General features: G+C 41.0%; 1 protein-coding gene across 4 annotated transcripts in view, besides 1 other annotated feature; it reads right to left on the bottom strand.

Annotated features, from left to right (window-relative positions):
• Nucleotides 1-12,103, bottom strand: part of ARHGEF4 (Rho guanine nucleotide exchange factor 4) — a 210,340-nt gene that overhangs the window by 91,633 nt on the left and 106,604 nt on the right. For all 4 annotated transcript variants that reach the window (NM_001367493.1, NM_015320.4, NM_001375901.1 and 1 more), the window contains one exon: nucleotides 8,986-9,112. In NM_001367493.1, coding sequence (NP_001354422.1) covers nucleotides 8,986-9,112 — 127 coding nt within the window. The remainder of the gene's footprint in view (nucleotides 1-8,985; nucleotides 9,113-12,103) is intronic.
• Nucleotides 5,913-6,240: a silencer, noted in NCBI's record as "fragment chr2:131706954-131707281 (GRCh37/hg19 assembly coordinates)". NCBI's record gives its function as "represses an EF-1alpha promoter that drives an FKBP-Casp9 reporter gene in an ReSE screen in K562 erythroleukemia cells {active_cell/tissue: K562}" and the evidence as "EXISTENCE:reporter gene assay evidence [ECO:0000049][PMID:32094911]".

The following is a 12,103-nucleotide window of genomic DNA, read 5'->3' as shown; positions in this document are numbered from 1 at the left end:
TTAACAGTGTGGTGTGGTCAGAGAAATATAGAAGAGAGCCCTAGTAAAGCCACTGCCATCCATGGGTGACTGTGGGCATACCCAGTGCTGTATCTCCTTTAGGAGCAACATCAGAAGCTTAACCCCACGGGAAGGGAAATAGACTTCACTAAAATAAAACAGTTCATGTAGTTAATAAATAAGCAAATAATAATAGCAAATCTAGTGGGGGAGCGGTTCTCAGAGTGGCTATAATATTATCTAAAATGCCCAGTTTCCAACCAAAAATTATGACATATGCAAAGGAACAGGAAAGTTTGACCCATACAATGGGGAAAAAAGCTGGCAATAGAAACTGCCTGTGAGAATGACTACATATCAGATTTATCAAGTCCAAGGTAGTAATTATAAACATGTTCACAGAACTAAAGGAAACATGATTAAAAGACAAAAGATGTGATGACAGTGTCTCACCAAACAGAGAATATCAATGAACGCATTCAAATCTTTTAAAAAAGGAAATTCTGGAGTTGAAAAGTACAATAACTGAAATAAAAAGTTCACTAGAAGGGCTCAACAGCTGGTTTGAATAGATGGAAGAAATAATTAGCAAACTTGAAGATAGATCAATAGAAATTACATAAGCCAAAGAACAAAGGGAAAACCATGAAAAAAAAATGAACAAAGCCTCAGAGAAGTGTAGGACACTATTAAGTGCACCAACATATGTGTAATGGGAATATCAGAAAGAGAGAGAAAAAGGGGAAGGGGAAAATATTCAAAGAAATAATGGCTGAAAACTTTCCAAATTTATTGAAAAACAATAACCTACACACCCAGGAAACTCAGTTATTTCCAAGTAAAATAATTCCAGAGATCCACAGACAGACACATCATAGTAAAAATGCTGAAAGTAAAAGACAAGGGGGAATATCCTAAAAGAGAATAGCAGCAAACAACATATAACTCATCAAGCCTTCTTCAATATGATTAACAATTGATTTCTTAGCAGAAACTCCAGAAGCCAGAAGACAGTGGGATAGTGTGTTAAATGTGCTAAAAGGATTTTTTAATATTTGTTATTATTTTTTTAATTATACTTTAAGTTCTAAGGTACATGTGCACAACGTGCAGGTTTGTTACATATGTATACATGTGCCACATTGGTGTGCTGCACCCATTAACTCATCATTTACATTAGGTATTTCTCCTAATGCTATCCCTCCCCCTGCCACCCCATGGCAAGCCTCCCTGTGTGATGTTCCCCGCCCTGTGTCCAAGTGTTCTCATTGTTCACTTCCCACCTATGAGTGAGAACATGCAGTGTTTGGTTTTCTGTTCTTGTGATAGTTTGCTCAGAATGATGGTTTCCAGCTTCATCCATGACCCTGCAAAGGACAGGAACTCATCCTTTTTTATGGCTCCATAGTATTCCACGGTGTATATATGCCACATTTTCTTAATCCAGTCTATTACTGACAGACATTTGGGTCGGTTCCAAGTCTTTGCTATTGTGAACAGTGCTGCAATAAACATACATGTGCACGTGTCTTTATAGCAGCATGATTTATAATCCTTTGGGTACATACCCAGTAATGGGATGGCTGGGTCAAATGGTATTTCTAGTTCTAGATCCTTGAGGAATCGTCACACTGTCTTCCACAATGGTTGAACTAGTTTACACTCCCACCAACAGTGTAAGAGCATTCCTATTTCTCCACATTCTCTCCAACACCTGTTGTTTCCTGACTTTTTAATGATTGCCATTCTAACTGGTGTGAGATGGTATCTCATTGTGGTTTTGATTTGCATTTCTCTGATGACCAGTGATGATGAACATTTTTTCATGTGTCTGTTGGCTGCATAAATGTCTTCTTTTGAGAAGTGTCTGTTCATATCCTTTGCCCACTTTTTGACAGGGTTGTTTTTTTCTTGTAAATTTGTTTAAGTTCTTTGCAGATTCTGGATGTTAGCCCTTTGTCAGATGGGTAGATTGCAAAAATTTTCTCCCATTCTGTAGGTTGTCTGTTCACTCTAATGGTAGTTTCTTTTGCTGTGCAGAAGCTCTTTAGTTTAATTAGATCCCATTTGTCTATTTTGGCTTTTGTTGCCATTACTTTTGGTGTTTTAGTCATGAAGTCCTCGCCCATGCCTATGTCCTGAATGGTATTGCTTAGGTTTTCTTCTAGGGCTTTTACGATTTTAGGTCTAACATTTAAGTTTTAATCCACCTTGAATTAATTATTGTATAAGGTGCAAGGAAAGGATCCAGTTTCAGCTTTCTACATATGGCTAGCCAGTTTTCCCAACACCATTTATTAAATAGGGAATCCTTTCCCCATTTCTTGTTTTTGTCAGGTTTGTCAAAGATCAGATGGTTGTAGATGTGTGGTGTTATTTCTGAGGCCTCTGTTCTGTTCCATTGGTCTATATCTCTGTTTTGGTACCAGTACCATGCTGTTTTGGTTACTGTAGACTTGTAGTATACTTTGAAGTCAGGTAGCATGATGCCTCCAGTTTTGTTCTTTTTGCTTAGGATTGTCTTGGCAATGCGGGCTTTTTTTTTGATTCCATATGAACTTTAAAGTAATTTTTTCCAATTCTGTGAAGAAAGTCATTGGTAGCTTGATGGGGATGGCATTGAATCTATAAATTATCTTGGGCAGTATGGCCATTTTCATGATATTGATTCTTCCTATCCATGAGCATGGAATGTTCTTCCATTTGTTTGTATCCTCTTTTATTTCATTGAGCAGTGGTTTGTAGTTCTCCTTGAAGAGGTCCTTCACATCCCTTGTAAGTTGGATTCCTAGGTATTTTATTCTCTTTGTAACAATTGTGAATGGGAGTTCACTCATGATTTGGCTGTCTGTTATTAGTGTATAGGAATGCTTGTGATTTTTGCACATTGATTTTGTACCCTGAGACTTTGCTGAAGTTGCTTATCAGCTTAAGGAGATTTTGGGCTGAAACGATGGGGTTTTCTAAATATACAATCATGTCATTTGCAAACAGGGACAATTTGACTTTCTCTTTTCTTAACTGAATATCCTTTATTGCTTTCTCTTGCCTGATTGCCCTGGCCAGAACTTCCAACACTATGTTGAATAGGAGTGGCGAGATAGGGCATCCCTATCTTGTGCCAGTTGTCAAAGGGAATGCTTCCAGTTTTTGCCCATTCAGTATGATATTGGCTGTGGGTTTGTCATAAATAGCTCTTATTATTTTGTGATACGTTCCATCAATACCTAGTTTATTGAGAGTTTTTAGCATGAAGGGCTGTTGAATTCTGTCAAAGGCCTGCTAAAAAGATTTTTTTTAAAAAAGAAATCTTGGCAACTAAGAATCCTTTATGCAGAAAGCTAACCTTTCAAAAATGAAGACTAAATAAGGATTTTCCCAGATAAACAAAACTGAGAAAATTTGTTGCTAGTAGACCTAACTTATAAGAAATACTAAAGGGCATTCTTTAGACTGAAAGCAAGTGACCCCAGATGATAATGTAAATCCACATGAATACAAAAAGAGTACTAGAAAAGGTAATGATGTAATTATAAAAAACACTATTCTTATTTTCTCCTTTCTTCTCTTAACATGCAACTGTATAAAATAATGTATATAATGTATTATTGAGCATATAATATAGAAATGTAATATATGTCAATAACAGCATAAAGGAGGTAGATGAGAGAAAAGCTGTAATAGGCTAAGAAAATGGTGACACATGGTAGAGTAATCATTTTACTAATGTGCTGCTGGCTTTATAACATTGATAAGTATAATATGCATAACAATCATACCACACAAAAAGGGGGAAGGGAATAGAGCTATAAAGGAGTAATAGTTCTATATATTACTGGAATTAAGCTAGTATAAATCTGAAGTTGATGCTGGTAAGTTATATATATATACATGAAACGCTAAAGCTACCATTAAAAACAAATCTCAAAAAATACAGTGAAAGAATCATTAATAAAATTAAAATACTACATTAGAAAATATTCACTCAGTGAAAAAGAAAACAGTAAAGAAGGAATAGAACAATAAAAAGATGAGACAGGGAAAACAAGAAGTGAAGACATGCCATGAACTGTGCCCATAGAAGATGGCAAATTTAATCAATAAATGTTGTGTGTTCCAACTGCTCCACCGACCATCCATTCCTCTGTCTCTCTCCCTCTCCTTGGGCTTCCCTATTCATGAGACACAATATGGAAATTAGGCCAATTAATAACCCAGTAATGGCCTTTAAGTTTTCAAGTGAAAGGAAGAGTCACATATCTCTAACTTTAAATCAAAAGCTAGAAATGATTCAGCTTAGTAAGGAAGGCATGTCAAAGCCAAGATGGCCCAGAAGCTAGGCCTCTCAAGCCAAACAGCCAAGTTCTGAAAGTGAAGGAGCAGTTCTTGTAGGAAATGAAAAGTGCTACTCCAGTTAGCACATGAATAAGAAAGTGAAACAGCCTGATTGCAATAGGAAGAAAGTTTTAGTGGTCTAGATAGAAGATCAAATCAGCCACAACACTCCTTTAAGCTAAGGCCTAATCCAGAGCAAGGCCTTAACTTTTTCCAATTGTATGAAGGCTGAGAGAAGTGAGGAAGCTGTAAAAGAAAAGTCTAAACCTAGCAGAGGTTGGTTCCTGAGATTTAAGGACAGAAGCCATCTCCCTAGCACTGAAGTGCAAGGTAGTAGAAGTAATCCAATTGCTCATCAGTGGATGAATAAATAAGCAAACTGTGGTGTATCCATACAATGGAATATTATTTGGCCAAAGAAAGAAATGAAGTACTGAAGTACATGTGACATGTGGAAGAACCTTGAAAACATTATTATAAGTGAGAGAAGCCAGTCACAAAACCAGTTCCTACATGATTCCATCCATAGGCAAATCCAGGGTAGGGAATTTACAGAGACAGGAAGTAGATAAGTGGTTCCTTCGGGTGGTGGTGGGGGGTAATAGCTAAAGGTACAGAGCTTCTTATGAGGTGCTGACAATGTTCTAAAATGGACTGGTGATGACCGCACGTATCTGTGAATATCCTGCCACCGAACTGTATATGACTATAGCTCAACAAAGCTGTTTAAAAAATAGAAAGCATCCTTTACTAGTAACTAGAGACTGATGAAGGGTGTTAGCCACAAGATACAACAAAGTGGTTTGAAGAAAGAGGTGACCTACAGCTTGTGAAATAACCATACTACCAGGTAGTCCTGGTAAAACCCAGCCAACCCTTCCAAAGCCACAGGCACGAACTCTGGAGGCATCAGGGACTCTCAGAGATGTACCTGGCCCTGCCAGCTCCACTGAGAGAGGGGCGGGTGTGGTGGGGGTTTATCTTGGACACCGATTTGCCAGGGAGAGGTGGCCTGCTCCCACATCAGGCTGATTCTTGGCCACCCTTCCAAACGTGGAGAAGAAATTCTAGTGAGGGGGAGGAGCTCCCTGCCAGGACTACTGACAGCTCCCCACAAGCCTCTAGGCGCTGACTCATGGCATTCATCACAAGAAAGCCTTGCCTTCCTCATCCTCCTTCAGCTGTGTTTGAAGGATGTTAACAGGAACCCATAACAATCTCTGAAAGAACGTCACTTCCAGTGCTACTTAACAACACACCACTGCTGGGGGAAGACTGCTGTCCTCACAGACGAGCAAATAAAGAAATTTCACCTATTAATAAAAAGCCTCAAAAGAGGCCATGTGTGGTGGCTCACGCCTGTAATTCCAGCACTTTGGGAAACTGAGGCAAACAGATCACCTGAGGTCAGGAGTTCGAGACCAGCCTGGCCAACATGGCAAAACCCTGTCTCTACTAAAAATACAACAATTAGCTGGGCATGGTGGTGGGGACCTGTAACCCCAGCTACTTGGGGGCTGAGGCAGGAGAATTGCTTGAACCCAGGAAGTGGAGGCTGCAGTGAGCCGAGATCGATCGCACCACTGCACTGCAGCCTGGGCGACAGAGCGAGACCCCATCGAAAAACAAACAGGCCGGGCATGGTGGCTCATGCCTGTAATCCCAGCACTTTGGGAGGCCAAGACAGGCGGATCACGAGGTCAGGAGATCGAGACCACCCTGGCTATCACAGTGAAACCCTGTCTCTACTAAAAAATAGAAAAAATTAGCCAGGCGTGGTGGCGGGCCCCTGTAGTCCCAGCTACTTGGGAGGCTGAGGCAGGAGAATGGCGTGAACCCAGGAGGTGGAGTTTGCAGTGAGCCGAGATCGCACCACTGCACTCCAGCTTGGGTGACAGAGCGAGACTCCGTCTCAAAAAATAAATAAATAAATAAAATAAAGTAAATAAAAAACAAACAAACAAACAGAAAACCTCGAAAGAAGAGCAGATGAATTTGGAAATGAACTGAAATTTGGAAATAACAAGAAAATTTTACAAAAATCCCAATTTTCTGTTCTTAATGGCTTCAAAAGGACATTGGAAAGATTGTTGCAGATTAAAAACATGATCACTGCATCACAAACTGCCAGTGAAGGCAGTGAACACAGGTGAGAAAAAAACAAAACAAAACAGGAAAACAAAGCAGAAGATGAAACAGAAATTCTCCCAGAACTGGGCAGAAAATGGATCAAATTTGAATGAGAATTCAAATGAGAATGATGACAGATTCCAGGGATAGAAACTAGAAATATAATCTCTACAAAGTAGAAATTCTACAAAGTCAGGAACAGATCAGTTGGAAGTGGAAGCAGTAATTAAGAAAAGAAAAGAAAGCTTTCCTAAGCTAAACTCCAGGATAGTCCAGGCTAGTCTCTCCCATTATCCTTACAAAATAGGAAAACAGGAGCTTTCACTCCTTTTTTGAAGAAAAAGGAATCTGATTACTTTCTTGCAGAATTTCTGAGAAAAAAAGAAAAAAGGAACCTGACATATAGGGAAATGGAGGGATGTGCCCAATTTCTCACCCTAGGGTGAAGTGTGGCTAGAGCCCTGACCTCTGACTTCCAGAGCATTGCCCTTGGTATGCATACATGCTGGATGTCACTGGTGGCATGAAGGTTTTAAAATTTCCTCTGCAATGAACTCATCTGCCAATTATTTCAAGTGACACTGAAATAATAGGAAAATATGATTATGAAGCTCTGAATTGTAAGGAGGTACTGACTTGAAAGGCCAAAATCAGCTTTGAGGATTCTCTCTGGAAAGATTCCTCTCCCTGGTTACTGTCCCTTCCACAAGACTCTAAATAACTCTATGACTTAATGAAGGGCTCATGCAAGAAATTGGGAAAGTTTCTTCAACACTTGTCAAACACCTTTTCATAACTTTGCTTGTGAGTTTAAGATCACAACTTTATGTGGGAAAGAATAAAACTCCACTTCACAGTGCAGCCTAAATACATCCATCTGCTGATGGACAACCACCACATCCACCAGCTAATCTGAGCAGCCAGCTCCCTCAGGACCAGCACCTCGAATGTGCTGAGTCAGATTCAGAGCTCAACTCAGAGTCTGCATCAGAGCTGATTCCTTAGCAAGGCACATGCCAAACTCCAGCATTCAGGGCCAACCATCATGCACCGTCATCCTCTGCCTCACCACACTGGCTTTCTATGGGTCTTCGGCACCGACAGGACCTGACTACCAACAGCCTCCACTGCCAGCTCGCTCCTCCCAAGCCTGGACAAAGCACGCATTTGACAGGTGTGGCTGTTTTGTTTTTCTAACTCTTAGGGCTTTACCCTTGTTCATCTTTCTTCAACACCAGATTTGGCCCCTCCCTCCAGCAGCCATGAGCTTTTAGACTGTAAGGTCACCACCTAACACAATCTGCACCTGCTCAAGACCTGAGACCCCACATCTGTCCTTCCACCAGAAGACAGATCTGCCTTGAGCCTCACTTAGCGTGTCCAGCCCTGCTGGGTTGGGTGTGAGGAAGGTGGTTGTTCTACATAAAGAGGCCCCATCCTGGCTCTCACCTGCGGCCCAATTCCCTTCTAACACAGAAAGCCAGGCCTTTTATGGACAGATATGTGATGTGATGCTATTTGCTATAGTTTGGAGAAAGGACTCATACAGGCTGCCATAAAACTCAAGGAAGAGGCCATTATTCCTCAGAACGGAAAACACCCAAGTTCCATCAGCTGATTAGAGACAGCTCCCTACATGATTCTGTCTCCTGGAAGTTATACATCCTACTACGAGACGAAGGGACAGTCAGTAGTTCTGCTCAAAATTAACTAATGGAGCCAAGCTGGGGGACTCTAGGAATTCCTTTTTTTATTTTTTCTTGAGACGGAGTATCACTCTGTCGCCCAGGGTGGAATGCAGTGGCACAATCTCAGCTCACTACAACCTCTGCCTCTCAGATTCAAGTGATTCTCCTGCCTCATCCCTCTGAGTAGCTGAGATTACAGGCATGCACCACCATATGGAGATAATTTTTTTTTTTTTTGAGACGGAGTTTTGCTCTTATTGCCCAGGCTGGAGTGCAATGGCGTGATCTTGGCTCACCGCAACCTCTGACTCCCAGGTTCAAGCAATTCTCCTGCCTCAGCCTCCCGAGTAGCTGAGATTACAGGCATGTGCCACCATGCCCAGCTAATTTTGTATTTTTAGTAGAGATGGGGTTTCTCCATGCTGGTCAGGCTGGTCTCGAACTCCCGACCTCATATGATCCGCCCACCTTGGCCTCCCAAAGTGCTGGGATTATAGCATGAGCCACCGCACCCGGCCTGTATTTTTAGTAGAGATGGGGTTTCACCATGTTGCCCAGGCTGGTCTTGAGCTCCTGACCTCAAGTGATCCGCCTGCTTCAGCCTCTCAAAGTGCTGGGATTACAGGCATGAGCCACTGTGCCCAGCCAATAATTCCCTTTCTTTGGGTAGTAGGCACTCCTCCCTAACTGAAGGAAGAGGACAATTGTTTATCTCTCTCACCTTCAAGCTACTTCTACCAGGCAAGTGGATACAGCTGCCAACAGCACTAGCTTCTTGTCCTTCATGCCAGGATCCAGAGTACATAGCAAAAGAGAGAGGCGCGTAACTCACCAGTGCCTGGTGTGTGCTCTGGCCAGCCCATGTGGTTCAGTCCCGTTGGAGCACTCTGGGAGAGTGGATGGCTTCTTCTAGGGAGATTCAAAGACTCTGGAGAGGTAATGATCGTCTTTCTCCAGCACTGGAAGAGGAGGAAAGAGACAGAGGGCAAATGAAGAAAAGAAATGACAGGCTGTCATTGCCACCCTGCAGTCTTTCTAATTGCTGAGGACTTTTCATTGTGAACAGAGCACACAACCAAAATATGCACAGCTCCAGGGGATGCCTTTCACATCAAAACTCACAAGAAAAACTTCACCTGGAGTCTGCAGTGGGCAACCTATCTGGCCACATGGATAGGCTGTCATTCCATGGATGAAGTCAGGACTGTGGAGAAGGTCTTCAGACTCCCAACTCTCCCCAAGCTGGTGAGCCACACAGCCTGATATCTCCCCGAAAGCAAGACTATTAGTTTTAGCTAAGGCATAGTCTTTTTGGAATGCTTCATTAAAACACAACTCACGAAATCCGTGACATCTCCTAATTATGAAGCAGACACTGCCCTTCAGACAGTAAGGACCACTGTTGGCTGTGGCTTTGGGATGACCAGGGATATAAGCCTTTTCTGTATCATCCCATTGTCCAGAGATAAACCTGGCCCCTCTTGATTTTTTTCTACCTTATGAAGTTATTGTATTAACTTAAAAATTGTGGTATGTATTCAAATAAATGCTTCTTCCCTTACTTTTTGCTTTTTTATTCCTCATACTATTAAGCAAACAGTGCTTAGAAAATTCTTTTAGTGATTTCCAGAAACATCAATATACAAACAATGATAAAGACGGAGTTGCACACTTCACCCCATCCATTTGAACACAACTAAAAACCTTGGGGAGAGTGTATAGATCAGCCGTTTGAGGACTCTAGAGGGAAACAGCAGCAGGTAGACTGGGGAAGGAAACCAGAATTCGAAGTAACACTGATCCTGTGGTGAGTTTCTTGTTTTGTTGTTCCTGTGGTGTGCCCTGGTCTGAACTCAATACCAGCTTGAAACTGGGCATGGACATAAAGGACTCCAAAAGAAGCCCTCTCAGATCTGAAGAGAGGGAAAAGGGTCCTTAAGGGTATGAGGGAATGAGGGATGTGTATTTGAGTGATGATTTCTCCCACCCTATTCCCCTAGGCAACCTCATTATGGTAATGGCAGTGGTGGTCGTGCAGACATCTAAAATTCTGAGGGACAGGAATCCTCTCTGACCAGAGGAACTGTGGTCCCAAGGGCATGGGAGAGAATCCTTGTTTCTTTTTTCTATCTCTGTCTCCCTGCCACTTGGTTTCAGAGGCAGACACAGTTGCAGGAAGTGTATGGCAGAGGGAAAATGAAAGCCCCAGCTTTCCATCAAGAAAACTAGGAAAGGAGGGCTCCTAGACACCAGGAAGTGCCTGGGAGAATGCCAAGAGGAGGGGTCTCAAGCAGAAGATCCCATAATGTTGTGTATGAGTTCCCGCACTTACCCCCAAGCTGTATGAGTGGATCTGACCCTGAACAGCATATAAGAGTCTTTTGGGAACTGAACCATGGGGTAGAACATATTTCAGGTCCCACAGGGGCCACTGGGTGATCCACATTATCCAAGTGGCACTGCAAACATCTTAAAACCTGAACTGACAAACTGACATAAGAAACAGCCCCTGAAGGCCAGTAAGAGCTTGCAGCCTGAACTTAACTGGGTCAACTGCTTAAAAAATTTAATAATCATTATTATCCATAGGAACTAAACAAGGCCCAGAGTCTCATAACATAACATTTAAGATGCCCAGAATACAATCGAAAATTACCTGACACACAAAGAACTATGAGATCTCAATAACTTTTAAGGGAAAAGATAGTCAACAATGGCAACACCAAGAAGACACAGTTGTTGGAATTATCAGAAAAAGACTTTAAAGCAGCTCTTATATCACCATGCTCTAAGAAGTAAGGGTGAACACTTTTGACATAAATGAAAAATAATAGCAGATAAATAGATAAAAAATAAAGTGGAGATGTTAGTAATGAAAAATATAAAATAACTAAAATAAAATCCAGTGGCAGAGTACAATTATAAAATGAGATGAAAAAGGAAAGAATCAGTAAGCATGTAAACAGCTCAACAGAAATTATCCAATTGAAGAACAGAGAGAAAAGGTTGGGGGGAAAAAATCCCAATAGAACTTTAGGGACCTGTGTGACAACAACAAAGGTCTAATACTCTGTCAATCAGAGTTCCAGAAGGAGAAGGGAGTGCAGTGCAGAACAATATCAAGAATAATTTCTGAAAACATCCCAAATATGATTCAAAACATTAACTTACAGACACAAGAGCCCAGCAAACTGCAAGCTGAAAAATCCAAGGAAATCAATGCCTAGAGACATCATAAACTGCTGAAAATTAGAGACAATGAAAAAAATCTTAAAGCAGCCAGAAACCACAACAGATCACACAGAGGGGAACATTCATTTGCATGACTGCAGATTTTTCATGGAGGCCAGAAAGAAGTGGAATAATATTTGTAAAGTGCTAAATCACTGTCAACCCAAAAATCTATATCCAGCAAAAGTATGTTCAGGAATGAAGGTAAAATAAGAACATTATCACATGGAGAAAAACTAAGAGAAGTCATAGCCAGTATACCTATTCTAAAGCAATGTTAAAGGAAGATCTTTATACAAAAGGAAAATGATACCAGAGGGAAACTTTGAACTTCAGAAATGAAGGAAGAGCAACAGAAATAATAAATAGCTGGGTAAATATAACACACCATTTTTCTCCTCTTAAGTTTTAAAAAATATTTGACAGTTAAACACAAAATTATAATATTATCTAATGCAGTTTTCAATGTATGCAGATTTAATATACATGACAACAACAACATAAAGGAGGAGGTTAAAGGAACCTATGGGATGGAAGATGTCTACATTCCTTCCACTCGAAGTGGGAAAATACTAATTCTAACTAGACGGAAATGTTAAGAATGTATGTTAATTCCTAGAGTTACTAAAAAAACCTATACAAAGAAATATATTTAAAAGCTCAATAACTAAGTTAAAATGGAGAACTAAAAAATACCCAAATAATCCAAAAGGAAACAG

This window comes from Homo sapiens, chromosome 2 (genome assembly GCF_000001405.40).
Source record: "Homo sapiens chromosome 2, GRCh38.p14 Primary Assembly".
Taxonomy (NCBI): Eukaryota; Metazoa; Chordata; class Mammalia; order Primates; family Hominidae; genus Homo; species Homo sapiens.
Note: the sequence above shows the minus strand (reverse complement) of the source record. Positions and strands in the feature narration are given on the sequence as shown.